The sequence below is a fragment of the Homo sapiens genome, chromosome 10 (genome assembly GCF_000001405.40).
Source record: "Homo sapiens chromosome 10, GRCh38.p14 Primary Assembly".
In the NCBI taxonomy this organism is placed as follows: Eukaryota; Metazoa; Chordata; class Mammalia; order Primates; family Hominidae; genus Homo; species Homo sapiens.
Window position 1 is genome coordinate 31,514,417 of NC_000010.11, and position 18,711 is coordinate 31,533,127.

Below are 18,711 nucleotides of genomic sequence, written 5' to 3' on the forward strand. Positions count from 1 at the left end.
TTGTGACTGCTACAACTGCTAATAATTTCAAGAGTTAGATTTTTGTGACTGCTGCAATTTGAGGTCTTTAAGAAACAAAACAAAACAACCATCAGGCTCACAAAAATGTCACTCTTAGTAGATTGGATGTTCTTTAGTCTAAAGATCTTTTGCTTTTCAAATAAAATACCAGTTCTTTTCTTACAGAGACATGTGACGCAGTCTGGGTGTAATCGTAAATTCAAATGCACTGAGTGTGGAAAAGCTTTCAAATACAAACATCACCTAAAAGAGCACTTAAGAATTCACAGTGGTAAATATTTTTTTTCTTTCTATACCCTGAATATCATAGCATATGTGGTAATAAATAAATATCATAACATGTAATCTACGTACATGATCAGAAACTCCTTGCATTTCTTTTGGCATACACTAATTGGGAGAAATTTTATGTTTATTTTATGTTTTATTAGAGTCTTAACCTTTGACTAAAGTATATCAAATTAATATAGTATGACATACTCCAGATTTCCTAATCAGAAGATAATATAGCATGTTTTAGTAAGTACAACCTGAAAACATATTAGCTTTCTGATGAATGTAAATGTCATTGCCTCCTTTGCACAATTAGCAGGGGAATGGAAAAGAGTATAGAGATACGATTTGCACAAGAGAATAGGGAAGTGAAGACATCCTTTATTTGAGAAAAGTTGAAATGGAACTCAAGATTAGAAAATATTGGAGAGCTGATATAGAGGCAATGAGAGGGAGTGAAAGGATTACAGCATTAATGAGAATCTGAAAGAAAAATGTGCTCACCCACCATCTTCACCTGTCTATTCCATGTCATTCTGTAAATTATTACTTACAAGGTTAATACTATTATGCGATGAAAGTGTTGTGTCTATTTTAGGAACTCAGAGTAAACAGAGAGCTATATTTGCATTTCTTTGGAGACACTACTTGAACAAAAGCGCAAAAGGAAAACTTGCTGGTATCCCACAATGCCCTATGAAATCTGTTCATCTCCTGATAAATTTTGATATGTTATTTTAGATTTAAATCATTTTAATGAAAAAATTATTAACCATGAATGGGAAATTATGGGTTTTCACACATTGCTTATTTTGTGAAAATTATGTATTGACATTTACATTTTACAAACATCTTCCTACAAAAAAAGTATAGTTGGATAGCTTTGTGAAGCATAGTTGATGATATTTATGTTTTATTTTGGAACTGCATTTCTAAAAGTTTTACTGTATTGCTCATTAAGGCTAACCCTCAATGTTAAACGTGCTGAAGTTACCACTTGAAAATGCTCAAACCAAGATCCTTACCAAAACATTTATTTTCACACATTGATTATTGTTTCTAAAAAGTAGAGGTTGTCTTTTGCAGCCTGCCACAATATTCTGTTTCTTAGCTTCTATGCTATTGAACAATTTTTATCAATAATAATATATTTTAACAACCTACCTTCTTACCAGAGATGATTTAAAGTTGTTAATAAAGATATAGCTAATTCAAGAGGGATTTTTAAATGTTGAAATCAGGGCAGAGGAAGGAAAATAAAGCTAACAGTAAGATTCATGTATATAATGAGTCATATTCATTTTGTCATATTGCAGTCATGGAAGATTTATCAGATCTATAAATAATACAAAGTTGGAAAGTATAAATCAGAACAAGGATTGAAATACTGGTCTAGAAATAAGAAGTTGAAAGTTAAGCATTGGTATTTAAAAATCAGTCTCAATCAAGTAGTAAATTTGAATGGCCCAGAGCTTAATATGAGCTGACTGTATGCTGATACTGCTCAAAAGCTAATGCAAATTTAGGCCAGATCATGGAACACAAAGCTCCCACTGTACTCTGCACTGTCCACTCATTATGTATGTACTTATTTCTGTCTTGTTTTTAAAACATCTAATGTGAGGCTTGTATACCTTTAACATAGCAAGTAATTTTAATTTAAAAATATGTAGGAAAAATTAAGAAACACTAACATGGAGTAAATTGTTGGGGGGACAAAATGAATGCTGTGAAATGCCATACATATGCTGGAAGTGGACCACAAATTAAGCTCTAAGGTTTAGGAAGAAAATGACAATCAGTAACCAAGACCCAGGGTGTCTGTAAGTAAAAAAAAAAAAAAAAAAAAAAAAAAAAAAAAAAAAAAATCAGTTGCTAGAAAAAGGACTATTCTTCCTTCCTGATACCAAGTCCATAGAAAACGTTATTCCTTGGAACAACATAAAGAGAAAAGAACAAAACAGAAGTTATATAATCCTCAGAAATATCCTTAAAATAACACAGCAGAGAATTTGATAGGGTTTCTTTTTTAAATCAGATTATTCAATAGAAGCCAGTCATAGTTCACCAAAGTGCTATTTAGGAAAAGCATTGCTCCAGGGTGGCCACGTAGATACAGTTTAAGTACACAGCTCTCTGATGGTCTGGTTGATTCCAAGAGAAGATTTTTGAGCAAAGGCTACCCAAAGTGACATCTCAGGACTGGTACCAGTCTGCAAACCCTGTGTTACTCATTCTTGAGATAAGTACAGAAATTGAGAGTAAGCATTTAGCATTTATTATACCAAGACTTTGTGACATTTTACTATATTTTATAAAATATTGGTCCACAGTAGATTGGAAACTTAAAAAAGAACCAAACAAAGCCAACTGGTCATTCACCACAAATAGTTTGAAAAGCTCTGCCTAGGGTATCTAATAATGGAAGAGCTGAATATCTTTTAGGAAACCTCCATAACTTTCTTTTCACATGACTTTTGAAAAGATGTTGAGAATCAGGATCCAAAATTATACTCTCTAAAATTACCTATATTGTTGCTAAATACTGGTACCCAAAAAATTTTGATCATGACCCTATGCAGAACCGTGTGTGTTAATAATTAGTTGATTCTACCTGTAGGAATTGAGCTATCATGAGGAAAAGGCTACCAGACCTCCACTCAGATTAGAGACAAAAGAACACCTGCATATGGCTGTGGTCCACCCCCAAAAATAATTTTCCATGGTCTTAGTAATTTTTGCCTGGAAAATTTTTGTATCAGATGCAGCCAAACACCCACCTTAGCCATTAAAAAAAAAAAAAAGTCAGTATACATAGTATACCGAACTTTGAGTAGTGAAACTTCCTGATGTAACCTTCAGGCTAAAATACTTGTAAACCCTAACCTCCATAGATAAATTAGTGATATGCCTAACTAATAAACTGTAAAGCTATGAAGCTAGAAACAAGGAGTTTTAAATTAACAAATATAGTGACTTTGGCTTTAGAATAATTGTTGTGTAAACTTTCTTTCTGGCAATGATAAAATATCAAGATAATTTTTAACAATAATAATGATAACTAGCACTTATTGGATCCTTAGCTATGTATAGCCACATGTTAGTTATTTGTATGCATTAATTCATATAGTCCTCAGGATAACCCTATGGAGTAGGTTTTATTATTTTCTACTTTTTACTGATGAGAAAATTGAGGCTCAGAGGGCTTAATTAACTTGTCCAAGGTCACTCAGGTAGTACATGGCAAAGCTAGGGCTGTGATGTAGTCATCCTGACCCAAAGTCATTCCCTTACGTACCATTTCTGTCCCCCTGTTTTAAAAAATAGTCTGTATTTATAGATGTTTATCTTTCTAGCGTCTCTAGAAGGAAAATAAGCATGTAGTTCATGTAAAAATGTTATCAAGTAATTAAAAGTGTTAAAATAGAGATGTACTAGAGTATATTCCTTGTTTTACCCCCACTGGAAACTTTTGTCTGTTGTATTTTGAGAATTGAATCCTATTCCAGGCATCGCATTGGAAAAATATTGATAAATTGGAGAATCCCCAGAGGTGGGTTAACAAGCAGGTAAGGGTTCTAAAACCCACATCCTGTGCAGAATGTTTGAAGGACCTAGGTATATTTAACCTATATAAGAGAAGTTTAAGAATACATATAGCAGCTCTTGATCCATTTGAAGGTTTGACTTGAGAAGAAAAGTTACACTTGTTCTGTGTGGCATCAGGACAAACTAGGATAGGGAAATAGGCATCATAGCTATTTTTTTGGCTCAAACTCAGCCTGTCTCTTAGTAGAATTGCCTTTTTAAAAAGTGACTAGCATTTGTTGAGAGCATACTAAGAGTTTTGCTATATAATCTCATATGACCCCTATAACAGTCCAATGAGAATGTATCTGCATTTGCACATTGAAAAACTAAGGCTTGGACAGGTTAAGAAAATACTATGTGATGGAGCCAGGATTTGAACCCAAATCCATGGACCTCAACAGAACCAGACAGGACCATCTTGTGCAGGGCTGTCCAGCAGGTCCTAACTCCCCTTTTATTAAAGAAGCTCAAGCAGAGATTAGCTGGTGTCAAGAATGATATGAAATGAACTCTTCATTGAAAAGGAGGCTGTACTACAAGGGTTTCTTAAATCTCTTCCAATTCTTATATATGATTCTTCAAATAATCATATTTATTAGAAAATATAACTCACATGTTTAAACTATAGCATTGAAGTTACTATTAAGCAATTTTTAGTAGGGCTTAAATTGATTCCTCACTGCTTTCATTTTAATTCTTAAAAAGAGCAGGAGATGGAGAGTTTTATTTTGATACTAAGTAGACAAATCAGTGTCATCACATCTCATCATTCAACAATTAGCCATTCACTCATCCAAAAAAGGTTTAATGAGCATCTTTGCAACCTGTACTTTGATGGGTGCAAGGGATAAATGGCAAACAAGCCTCAGAGGCTCCTGCCTTACTGAAGCTTATAGTCTGTAACCTTTAAATTATAAATTAGTGAACTATAACTTAAAACTCAAAGGAAACATTAGGTTTGTAGGAAAATATTCCATTTAGCTCGGTGCTTTCAAAATTTTCTACCAAAGTATCCCTAACAGCCAAGGAGAATAAATGCCTTTTACCCCACAGAGTCTAGGGAAGCAGCTTGAGGGAAGCCTCTGCAAGCCAAAGGCTACTTTGACAGTGCGTGGCTTTTCCTAGCAAGTCACACAAATGTGTTTTTCTCTGTTTTAATATAAAAATAATGTTTTATCATATCCACTGTCACTAAAATTGAAACTCCAAGGTGCTTTGATACCCACTACAGTGTTTATCCTGGGAGTATATACATTTCAGTTTAATAAGCCAATGCTTATAGAATATCTTATATAAGTTTTCCTCCCATTAGGGAAAAACTATTTTCAAGAAAGCCCTATGGGTACAGGAATTATTATTAATCAAAGATAGATATTCATACTTGTTAAGTCATATGGGACATTTTACTTATTTTTCTTTTCTTTAATATTTCTCCTACAGATGGTTGAGTAGAGTAAAATATAGAAAATTATATAGGTCGGTGAAATGGGATAAGAAAAAACATACTTGAAAGAGTAGAATGTAATTACTTTTGATACTTGAGAATTATTTGAAGTTATAAAGATTGGTGGAAATATTATACACATATGCTGAGAAGATTCCATGATTGGTTAGCAGAACATGTACCTCAGACTTAGTTACTAGCGTTCATCACATCTATGTAGGTTTTGAAGCTAAAAAGTTTATTCTAAATACAGTTCTGTCACAAGCATGCATGGCAGTCTTCTTTTTAAAATTGATACCGCTTGTTTTAGGGAAATGAGGATACATAAAAATTTATATGTAATAATTCAGTGAATATAATTTGTTTGTTTGTTTGTTTAGGAGAGAAGCCATATGAATGCCCAAACTGCAAGAAACGCTTTTCCCATTCTGGCTCCTATAGCTCACACATAAGCAGTAAGAAATGTATCAGCTTGATACCTGTGAATGGGCGACCAAGAACAGGACTCAAGACATCTCAGTGTTCTTCACCGTCTCTTTCAGCATCACCAGGCAGTCCCACACGACCACAGATACGGCAAAAGATAGAGAATAAACCCCTTCAAGAACAACTTTCTGTTAACCAAATTAAAACTGAACCTGTGGATTATGAATTCAAACCCATAGTGGTTGCTTCAGGAATCAACTGTTCAACCCCTTTACAAAATGGGGTTTTCACTGGTGGTGGCCCATTACAGGCAACCAGTTCTCCTCAGGGCATGGTGCAAGCTGTTGTTCTGCCAACAGTTGGTTTGGTGTCTCCCATAAGTATCAATTTAAGTGATATTCAGAATGTACTTAAAGTGGCGGTAGATGGTAATGTAATAAGGCAAGTGTTGGAGAATAATCAAGCCAATCTTGCATCCAAAGAACAAGAAACAATCAATGCTTCACCCATACAACAAGGTGGCCATTCTGTTATTTCAGCCATCAGTCTTCCTTTGGTTGATCAAGATGGAACAACCAAAATTATCATCAACTACAGTCTTGAGCAGCCTAGCCAACTTCAAGTTGTTCCTCAAAATTTAAAAAAAGAAAATCCAGTCGCTACAAACAGTTGTAAAAGTGAAAAGTTACCAGAAGATCTTACTGTTAAGTCTGAGAAGGACAAAAGCTTTGAAGGGGGGGTGAATGATAGCACTTGTCTTCTGTGTGATGATTGTCCAGGAGATATTAATGCACTTCCAGAATTAAAGCACTATGACCTAAAGCAGCCTACTCAGCCTCCTCCACTCCCTGCAGCAGAAGCTGAGAAGCCTGAGTCCTCTGTTTCATCAGCTACTGGAGATGGCAATTTGTCTCCTAGTCAGCCACCTTTAAAGAACCTCTTGTCTCTCCTAAAAGCATATTATGCTTTGAATGCACAACCAAGTGCAGAAGAGCTCTCAAAAATTGCTGATTCAGTAAACCTACCACTGGATGTAGTAAAAAAGTGGTTTGAAAAGATGCAAGCTGGACAGATTTCAGTGCAGTCTTCTGAACCATCTTCTCCTGAACCAGGCAAAGTAAATATCCCTGCCAAGAACAATGATCAGCCTCAATCTGCAAATGCAAATGAACCCCAGGACAGCACAGTAAATCTACAAAGTCCTTTGAAGATGACTAACTCCCCAGTTTTACCAGTGGGATCAACCACCAATGGTTCCAGAAGTAGTACACCATCCCCATCACCTCTAAACCTTTCCTCATCCAGAAATACACAGGGTTACTTGTACACAGCTGAGGGTGCACAAGAAGAGCCACAAGTAGAACCTCTTGATCTTTCACTACCAAAGCAACAGGGAGAATTATTAGAAAGGTCAACTATCACTAGTGTTTACCAGAACAGTGTTTATTCTGTCCAGGAAGAACCCTTGAACTTGTCTTGCGCAAAAAAGGAGCCACAAAAGGACAGTTGTGTTACAGACTCAGAACCAGTTGTAAATGTAATCCCACCAAGTGCCAACCCCATAAATATCGCTATACCTACAGTCACTGCCCAGTTACCCACAATCGTGGCCATTGCTGACCAGAACAGTGTTCCATGCTTAAGAGCGCTAGCTGCCAATAAGCAAACGATTCTGATTCCCCAGGTGGCATACACCTACTCAACTACGGTCAGCCCTGCAGTCCAAGAACCACCCTTGAAAGTGATCCAGCCAAATGGAAATCAGGTAAAAAATAACCTCCATCCTGAACCTGGCTAGTAATATGCTATTTGACTAATTTCAATTAACTTTGTCTAATAAATATCAGTCCCGTAGAGCCAACTAGATTATTACAAACTGTCATTTTTAAAAGGATCAATGTTTGCTTTAACTTTTCTGGCATGATGTCTTCAGTTGGTTGTTTGCTAATCCAGGGTATTGTTACCAGCTTAAAGTTTGAAATGCTATTCTACTGAAAGATGATTTTTAAGTCCCAGCTAAAAACCTGTTTGAAGTTAGAAATCAAAAAACAAAATTGAAATACTCGCTAATTGGGTTTCTGTTTTTATAGCTAAATTCCTAAAATTAGTAATAGTTTCTGCCTTGATTATGGTCATTAATTAATGAAAATATGTTCCCATTCACAGGTTCATACCAGGCAAACTTATCTATCACTTTTATATACTAATACATCTGTTTATAAAAGGTTTTAATTAAATAAACAGGAATGAAGTATACAAAGAACGCATCTTGTGAATTTACTGATCATTTTATGAACTGTGCATAAACAGTGTTCAGTCATAATGTATATGAGGAAGTGTGGCTGTGAACCTAAAAATACATATGCATTTTCCTCCTTAACTATCACAGTGTTTACCACAACAGTGTTTATTCTGTCCAGGAAGAACCCTTGAACTGGTCTTACCCCAAAATCCACAATAGTTTTGGATAGAGCTATTGTATGCCTCATTGTCCAGACTTTTTCCATGTCACTGATGTTGATGTTTTCCCATTTTTTCCATCAATTTCTGATGGAATCAAATGAATACTAGAGACAAATTTGATATTTTATGCAAATATTTTCTATAAGTATAATAATTTCAATATCCTGCTCAAACTTGTATTTGCTGCTTTTGTTTTCCCTTAAATATTGCTATTGATTGGGTTTCCTGTAATTGTGATAACTCTTGAAAAAAAGTTCTTACGTGATCATTGAATTCCTCTAAATTTTTAGTGTACAGAACACTTTGCATGCCTTTGAATAGAAAAAGAGCCATCCTTAGCATTTCATAGACTCACGTGTCACGTGACTAGATCAAGTAGCAGTGAAAGTAGAATCAAGTTACTTCAGCACCAGGGCCACTCACAAATGACAGGGACAAATGGCTGCACCTCTCTTGCCTCATAGAGCCATAAGAAATGTTGTGAAAAACCTTCAACTTTTAGAAAATGTGTGGGTTTGAGGCAATGGCGTGGAACACTCTAGATAAGGTAGGAAGATCTTAGGGGACCCAGTTCCACAACAGGCTCCCTGCAGGGTTATTTGGCTTACATAAGAACGTGCTGCCCAAAATTATCTCCATGAGACTGCCTGGAGTTTCTAAAGGTTCATTTTGATTAGCAATTATTTCTGTTAAAAAGATAGACCCTCCTGCATTGTTTTTCCATCTTGCTCCTTAGACAAGTGGTAGAGCACACCTCTCTCTTTTCAAGGAGACCGTGGAGGTTAAAGAACCCTGAAGTTCTGGAGGATACAATTGAAAGACCAGGTTTTAAAAATAGAATGTTAGCTTTTGCTTAGTGAAACCCAGAATGAGAAAAATGAAGGCAAAAGATGCAGTTAGTAATGAGCGATTAATTAGCAAACTAATAAGTTAAAACCTTCTGCAAATTTCTCGTAAAGTAATGATTCACATGAAACTAGGTAAACTCTGTTACTATATATTTTACATGCTTTCTTTTCGGTGTCCTTGCTTTCTTTCCAGTACCAGTTGAGTATATGTCTTTGCTATGGTTTTGACTGTGTTATCCCCAACCTCACTCTTGTCTTTGTCATCTCCACCTGTGATCTGGCCCCACCCTTGGGGCACATGTGCAGTGAAGATCAGTGTGCTTGCTTTGGTCAAGTCCTTGAAAGTATAAAAGTATAAGTTAAAGTAGTTCTTTATCTCATGCTTTTATGTATATCTCTTGTTTATCTTTTAATGTTAAATTACATTTTCTCACACCTTTCTCCCTCTAGGATGAAAGACAAGATACTAGCTCAGAAGGAGTATCAAATGTAGAGGATCAGAATGACTCTGATTCTACACCGCCCAAAAAGAAAATGCGGAAGACAGAAAATGGAATGTATGCTTGTGATTTGTGTGACAAGATATTCCAAAAGAGTAGTTCATTATTGAGACATAAATATGAACACACAGGTATGTCAGTGAACACAAACATAAAGTGTCCATGATATGATATACTGGAAGATGCAAAATTAAAAACTAAAGTTTTAGAATTTTCTTTCTTTTTTTTTTTTTTTATTTTGTTTTGAGACAAGGTCTGGCTCTAGTCACCCAGGCTGGAGTGCAGTGGCACGCAATCTCAATCTCGGCTCACTGCAACCTCCGCCTCCCGGGCTCAAGCCATCCTTTCATCTCAGCCTCCTGAGTAGCTGGGACTATAGGCACATACCACCACACCTGGCCAATTTTGATATAGACGGGTTTTGCCATGTTGCCCAGGCTGGTCTTGAACTAATGAGCTCGAGCCATCTACCCACCTCGGCCTCCCAAAGTGCTGGTATTACAGGCATGAGCCACCACGCTTGACCCAGAATTAATTTTCTTATTTTTTACTTATCTGATCTGGCCATTTTCACCTGTTTGCCCACTTCTACCTAGTACTTAAGGTCTGTGCCTTTCTTTTGGTTTTTTGCTTCATCTGTTTTTTTGTTTTTTTCATGACTTATTTCCTTTAAGCTGACACAGCATTTATTCTGTCCGCATTCATTTAATGCAAGCTTATGCTATATTAATAAAAACATAGTACATAGTACCCATTAATAAAAAATATGAGACCAGTGGGCTAAAGTCATAGGGAGACAGGATCTGGCTTCATAAAAGAAAAAGCTGCTTCATAAGCATGCGGCAAGCTGTCCTGGCAAGTCAAGATCTTTTGTTTTAAGTAAGAAGTTCTGCCTAAGAGGTTGGACTAGAAGATTCTAAGATCCTGTAATTCTGAGATCCTGTAATTCTGCCACAAAATATGCCTCCTTAGGTTGACTCAGGGATGGCAAACTATAGCTCACAGGCCAAATGTGAGCATACGCATGTTTTTCTATGAGGTAAGAATGGTAGTTTTTGATTTTGTTTTTACATTTTTAAATGATTGGAAAAGATGAAAAGAATATTTATGACTGATGAAAATTATGTGAAAGTCAAATATCAGCATCCGTAAATAAAATTAGTTGGAAGACAGCATCGCCTATTCATTTACATTTTGTCTATGTCAGCTTTCATGCTGTTCTACAATGGCAGGATTGAGAAGCTACTACAGAGACCATTTGGCCTGCAAAGCCTTTAATACTCACTACCCTTTACAGAAAATAGTTGCCAACTCCTGGCCTATTTCATTCCTTCCATCAGTGAAGTACTGATAAATTTTAACACCTGGTTCTCTGAAGGGTGGGGAAGCCCTGATTTGTAGTGTTTGCAGCTTTTTGTGGCATAAATACTCCCATCATGGTGGATTTCGAGCTTGAATGTGATGTCAGCTTGCAGAATTCCTGAAAATTTAGCAGTAGACTCTCTCCAGCCAGTACAAACTGGCTCCAGCACACTCCTGTGTCTCTCTCTAACATGGGTTGCTGTAGAAGGGGCTGGGTTTATCCTGAGCTCTTTAATCCCCTACCTGCTCTTCCCTGCCCCCACTACCAGCCATTATGACTACAGTATCCATATTTATCTTTCATATTCTTAACTGTTTCAGTGTATTTTTTACTCTTGTGAGAAAAGATAGAATTGTTTTTCCTTCTTCAATCTGTGGATTCATACAGTGACACTTGGAAGGTTCTTGGAGCTAAAAACTGGTTACATAAGAGAAAGTCACACCTCTCAAAATCAGCCCCTTGTAACTCAGTCCTCTGGTTTTCAGAGATCTAAGAAGAGTTAGAAAATCCCCTTCCTCTTCAGGCAAAGTTAAATATTAGCAAATATCAAAGTGAAAAATATATATGAAAAACTACACTATTTCTAAAATTAAAAATCATTTCTGCATTTGTTAGTGTTAACTGCTTGATAGCTCTGAAATTGGACATTATCGATCCTGACTATGATCAGTTGTTGCCAGTCCTTTTCATGTCTGGGCAGCAACACTCCTGTAGCCCATGCGTTCTCAGGAGGGGCAATATTGCCCTCACGGGCCAAAACTTGTTTCTTAGGGGGCAAAAAAGTCTGAGATACTACAATGGCTGTGGTTTTCTAAAGAAGCTCAGTATATATACTGTATATTTATGAGTTTTATCGTATATAAAAAGTGTATAGTAAACATTAAAATTTCACTGGGAGCAGAGCTTGTGACTAGGAAAACAAAATGACTAAAAAGGGACCTTGTAGTGATAATGAACACAAGGTGAGCAGCAAGTCTGTCCCTGTCTGCCCTCACTGTGCTCGTTCACTACCAGACATCTCCTCCCAGCTGCACTTGGCCCATTTTCCACCTCGCTGTCATGATGCTTGTATTTTTGGCATTTCAATGTCATGTAGCTCCCATTGACCTAATCATCTGCACAGCAGAGTGTAGAGCACTACGTTTTTTAATGTAAAGAACAAACCAAATTGCAATATTATATTACAAAGAGTTTGGGACCTGGAAATGTTTTAAAAATGAAACTAATAACCCTCCCCTTTCTACAACATGAAGTACCCCAAAAACCGTATAAGGATTTTATTTGCTGAATACCACCATTTTATTTAACAGAATTCTTATTTTGCAGGTAAAAGACCTCATGAGTGTGGAATCTGTAAAAAGGCATTTAAACACAAACATCATTTGATTGAACACATGCGATTACATTCTGGAGAAAAGCCCTATCAATGTGACAAATGTGGAAAGCGCTTCTCACACTCTGGGTCTTATTCTCAACACATGAATCATCGCTACTCCTACTGTAAGAGAGAAGCGGAAGAACGTGACAGCACAGAGCAGGAAGAGGCAGGGCCTGAAATCCTCTCGAATGAGCACGTGGGTGCCAGGGCGTCTCCCTCACAGGGCGACTCGGACGAGAGAGAGAGTTTGACAAGGGAAGAGGATGAAGACAGTGAAAAAGAGGAAGAGGAGGAGGATAAAGAGATGGAAGAATTGCAGGAAGAAAAAGAATGTGAAAAACCACAAGGGGATGAGGAAGAGGAGGAGGAGGAGGAAGAAGTGGAAGAAGAAGAGGTAGAAGAGGCAGAGAATGAGGGAGAAGAAGCAAAAACTGAAGGTCTGATGAAGGATGACAGGGCTGAAAGTCAAGCAAGCAGCTTAGGACAAAAAGTAGGCGAGAGTAGTGAGCAAGTGTCTGAAGAAAAGACAAATGAAGCCTAATCGTTTTTCTAGAAGGAAAATAAATTCTAATTGATAATGAATTTCGTTCAATATTATCCTTGCTTTTCATGGAAACACAGTAACCTGTATGCTGTGATTCCTGTTCACTACTGTGTAAAGTAAAAACTAAAAAAATACAAAATACAAAACACACACACACACACACACACACACACACACACACACACAAAATAAATCCGGGTGTGCCTGAACCTCAGACCTAGTAATTTTTCATGCAGTTTTCAAAGTTAGGAACAAGTTTGTAACATGCAGCAGATTAGAAAACCTTAATGACTCAGAGAGCAACAATACAAGAGGTTAAAGGAAGCTGATTAATTAGATATGCATCTGGCATTGTTTTATCTTATCAGTATTATCACTCTTATGTTGGTTTATTCTTAAGCTGTACAATTGGGAGAAATTTTATAATTTTTTATTGGTAAACATATGCTAAATCCGCTTCAGTATTTTATTATGTTTTTTAAAATGTGAGAACTTCTGCACTACAAAATTCCCTTCACAGAGAAGTATAATGTAGTTCCAACCCGTGCTAACTACCTTTTATAAATTCAGTCTAGAAGGTAGTAATTTCTAATATTTAGATGTCTTAGTAGAGCGTATTATCATTTAAAGTGTATTGTTAGCCTTAAGAAAGCAGCTGATAGAAGAACTGAAGTTTCTTACTCACGTGGTTTAAAATGGAGTTCAAAAGATTGCCATTGAGTTCTGATTGCAGGGACTAACAATGTTAATCTGATAAGGACAGCAAAATCATCAGAATCAGTGTTTGTGATTGTGTTTGAATATGTGGTAACATATGAAGGATATGACATGAAGCTTTGTATCTCCTTTGGCCTTAAGCAAGACCTGTGTGCTGTAAGTGCCATTTCTCAGTATTTTCAAGGCTCTAACCCGCCTTCATCCAATGTGTGGCCTACAATAACTAGCATTTGTTGATTTGTCTCTTGTATCAAAATTCCCAAATAAAACTTAAAACCACTGACTCTGTCAGAGAAACTGAAACACTGGGACATTTCATCCTTCAATTCCTCGGTATTGATTTTATGTTGATTGATTTTCAGAATTTCTCTACAGAAACGAAAGGGAAATTTTCTAATCTGCTTTATCCATGTACTTGCATTTCAGACATGGACATGCTATTGTTATTTGGCTCATAACTGTTTCCAAATGTTAGTTATTATGGACCCAATTTATTAACAACATTAGCTGATTTTTACCTATCAGTATTATTTTATTTCTTTTAGTTTATAGATCTGTGCAACATTTTTGTACTGTATGTCTTCAAACCTGGCAGTATTAATACCCTTCTTACTGACATATGTACTTTTAGTTTTAGAAAACTTTTATATTTATGTGTCTTATTTTTATATTTCTTTATTTATTACACAGTGTAGTGTATAATACTGTAGTTTGTATTAATACAATAATATATTTTAGTATGAAAATTTGGAAAGTTGATAAGATTTAAAGTAGAGATGCAATTGGTTCTCCTGCATTGAGATTTGATTTAACAGTGTTATGTTAACATTTATACTTGCCTTGGACTGTAGAACAGAACTTAAATGGGAATGTATTAGTTTTACAACTACAATCAAGTCATTTTACCTTTACCCAGTTTTTAATATAAAACTTAAATTTTGAAATTCACTGTGTGACTAATAGCATGATGCTCTGCAGTTTTATTAAGAAATCAGCCTAACCATACAACTCTCATTTCCTTAGTAAGCCAAATTAGGATTAACTTCTATAAACAGTGTTGGGAACAATGTTTAACATTTTGTGCCAATTTGTTCCTGTATTCATGTATGTAAGTTACAGATCTGACTCTTCATTTTTAAGTTCCTTGTTACATCATGGTCATTTTCTAGTTTTTTACCAGACTCCCATCTCACAATAAAATGCATCAACAAGCCTGAACTGCTGTCATTCTTTTCATCATTATCAGTATTTTCTTTGGAAAACTGTGAAATGGGGTACATTGTCATCCTGCATTTGATTCATCTTGAGCTGAATTTGGGTAACACTAAATGTTTTAGACATTCTCCACTAAATTATGGATTTTCTTGTGGCTAAATGTTTCTGGAGAGGTCAGAGTTGACAAAACCTCTTCACAGGTTGCTCCTTCTTCCTGAAATCCTTAATCCTCCGCATTTCATGCTTCAGGTCATTTCAGGGAAGCCTGGGTTTAGATGCCTTTCTGACTCTCAGCTCCTGCACTTCTGTCATCATACCTCTGATACTATTATTTATATTCCTTCCCCACTAGGAACAGGAACCACATTTGTCATAGTCACTCTCACATTCCTCACTGCCTAACAGGGTGCCTGGCATAAGTTGGGACAACAGATATTTGTTGAATAAAAATATAATTTGCATGTTTATGGAGCTCAGCTATGTTCTCACTTTTTTTGCTTCTAATTCCAGAATATATGTTAAATGATCTAATAATTTGATTATTTTCTTATAAGTCTTATTAAACACTAGTCATAATAGACACAATAAATTATGCCTTCTTTTTCTATTGCCTTACTATTTTGATTTTTTGAAAGTGTATTTCTAGGTGTCTTCCTGGTGCTTAACCTCATGGTATATGGCACAGGTATTGCTGGCTTGTGGACATGACTACCTCCAATAGGAGCGATAGGACTGATCCTAGTCAGCTCTCCTTTGTAGAATTCACTTCCCTTTCTAGGACCCCATATTCGTAGGTGCTCGTTACCATGTTGCCTGATTTCCCCTGTCACTGAGAGCAGCTACCAATAAACAGACTGACTGAAAAGGATTAGGAACTAAGAATAAGATACTCTTCTTAGGAGGTATCCACAATGTAATATAAAGTTCAATGAGGGCAGTGCTTGATATGTATGGATAAATGACTAATAAAGGAATTTAGGCATTACCAGAACTTTTCAGAAAGAAAACGTACATGGACCTTTCCCAGTATTCCCTCATATGACATACAACAAAAATAATAGCAGGGCCATATATTATTTATTCATGCCATGCACAGGTATTTCACTACTATCAAAATGTTCACAAAAGCCTCATAAAAAATACAAATAAAGACAATGTGCCCATGAACACATACGTCTTAAGTAGCAGAATGAGGATATGAACATAGGCTTATCTGAGTCCAAATCCATGCTTCTTCTTTTTTATTTTTTTGAGGCAGGGTCTTGCTCTATTGCCTGGGCTGAAGTATGGTGGTGTGAACATGGCTCACTGCAGCCTCAAACCTCCTGGGCTCAAGTGATTCTCCCACCTCAGCCTCCTGAGTAGCTAGGACAACAGGCATACACCACCACACCTGGCTGTTTGTTTGTTTGTTTGTTTGTTTTTGTTGGAGAGTCAGGGAGTCTCACTGTTTCCCAGGCTGGTCTTGAACTCCTCGGCTGGAGGAATCCTCCTGCCTTGGCCTCCCAAAGTGCTGGGATTATAGGCTTTAGCCACTATGTTCAGCCCGAAATCCATGCTCTTACCTAGCCTGTATCACATCTCATGTGAGAATAGTTTACAGTATCTCAATCTTCGCCTTGAAGTATATGAATGGAAAATATAAGAGCAATATACATTTCATAGCCTGGTGGAAAAGAATGGATGGGGAATGAGATTTTTCAAATCTGTGTGCAAACTTAAAAAGAACCTTGAAAAGGATACTATTAAAGTGCAGTGATTATGTTGACATGAAAATGTAGAACAGATTTCATCTCATCCTATCAATGGGAGAATATATTAGGACGTTCAATATGTGAACATTGTCCTCTGCTCTAGCTCACATTCTATTCAACAGTAGCAGAATACACACTTTTTTCCTAACACATGGGACATTCATGAAGAGGGACCATATTATGGGCCATAAGTCAACTCTCAGATTTAAAAGAATTGCAAATAAAGTATTTTATTTGACTACAAAAGAATTTATTAAAGTAGAAATCAGTAAATCAAATGTATCTGAAAAATCCCCCAAATTATTGGAAAATTGACACCACATTAGCCCAGATGTGGTTAAAAATAAATTATAAAATATGAGCTAAAGGTAAATACAACATATCAAAACTTGTAGCTTGCAGCAAAAGCAATGAATATAAGAAAATGTATAGTATTAAATGCTTATATTAGAAAATAATAAAGGATTGAATCTTATCTAAGCTTCCATCTTAAGAAATGAAACAAAACAAAATTAAACCGAAACCAAGCAGGAAAGAGGAAATAACAACAATAGCACAGAAAACAAAATAGAGTAAATCAATGAAATCAGAATCTATTTTTTTAAAGATTAGTAAAATTGATAAACCTCTACCAGGATAGATCAAGGAAAGAAGAAAAGAGATACAAATTACTAATACCAGGACTGAGAGAGGCACATCATTACAGAGCCTATAAAGAAATAATAAGGAAATATTAATGAACTTTATGCCAGTAAATTTGGCAACTTAGATGAAAATGACATATTTCTTGACTCAAACTACCAACATCCACTCAAGAAGAAATAGATAACCTAAATTTCTATTATCAATGGAAATTACATTTCTAGTTAAAAATCTTCCCAAAAAGAAAATTCCCAGCCCAAACAAATTCACTGGTGAATTCTACCAAACATGTAAGGAACATAACTGTACCCATTCTACACAAACTCATCTATAAAATTGAAGAGGAGAACACACTTCCCACTTCACCTGTAAAGCCAGCATTAACCTAATACCAAAACCAGTCAATAACGTTACAAGAAACAAATCTACATACACATTGATGTTGCTCATAAACATGGATACAAAAATTTTTAACAAAATTTAGGAAATCAATTTGGACCATATATCAAAAGGAAAATAGATCATGACCAAGTGAGATTTATCCTAGGAGTGCAAGCTTTTTAAGCATTCAAAAATCAGTTGCAGATGCTTCTTCCCAGGGGTTAAAGCCCGACAAACCCATCATAAGTTTAAAATACCATGTCAAAAATGCATTTAGTATGCCTACTGAACATCATAGCCTAGCCTAACCTAGCTTAAACATGCTCAAAACACTTAATTAGCCCACAGTTGGGCAAAATCATTTCACACAAATCCTATTTTATAAGAACGTGTTGAATGCTGGCAACGTAGTACACTGTGGCATATCAGTCGTTTACCCTCATGATCATGTGGCTGAGTGGAAGCTGCGGCTCACTGCTGCTTTGCAACATCACAAGAGTATTGTACTGCATATTGCTGGCCCAAAAAAATCAGAATTATGGTTAATCAAAAAATATTTTGATCAAAATATGGTTGCTATTGAATGTGTATTGCTTTTGCACCATCATAAAGATGAAAGATATAAAGTCAAGTCGTCATAAGGCAGGGACCGTTTGTAGTGTAATTCACTATATTTATAGCATAAAAAGAAAAAACAATCATCTCAATAGGTGTGGAAGAAGCATCTGACAAAATTAAACACCAAGCCATAGATGTTCTCAGCAATCCAGGAATTGAAGGGAGTTTTCTCAACCTAATAAAGAGCATCAACAAAATACCTACAGTTAACATCATACTCAGTGTGTAGGATCTACTGCTCTCCCCCTAAAATTAGGAACAAGGCAAGAATATCTGCTCTCACACCTTTATTGAACATTGTACTGGAGATCCCACCCAGGGAAACATGACAAAAATAAATGAAAGAAATACACATTGGGGAAAAAATAAGTAAAACTTTATTTGCAGATAGTGTGGCTGTCTGTGTAGAAAACAAGGAATTTGCAAAAAACTAGAAAAGGTAAATGTAAGGTTACAAGATACACAGCCATTATGCAAAAATCAATCATATACTATCTAGTGATAAGAATGGAAAACAGAGGAATTTGCAAAAA

General features: G+C 36.1%; 1 protein-coding gene across 56 annotated transcripts in view; it reads left to right on the forward strand.

Annotated features, from left to right (window-relative positions):
• Positions 1-15,388, forward strand: part of ZEB1 (zinc finger E-box binding homeobox 1) — a 211,388-nt gene extending 196,000 nt beyond the window's left edge. For all 56 annotated transcript variants that reach the window (NM_001323643.2, NM_001323638.2, XM_047425691.1 and 53 more), the window contains 4 exons: positions 187-292; positions 5,710-7,520; positions 9,517-9,697; positions 12,256-15,388. In NM_001323643.2, the coding sequence (NP_001310572.1) occupies positions 187-292; positions 5,710-7,520; positions 9,517-9,697; positions 12,256-12,848 (2,691 nt within the window). In that variant the 3' untranslated portion in view covers positions 12,849-15,388. The remainder of the gene's footprint in view (positions 1-186; positions 293-5,709; positions 7,521-9,516; positions 9,698-12,255) is intronic.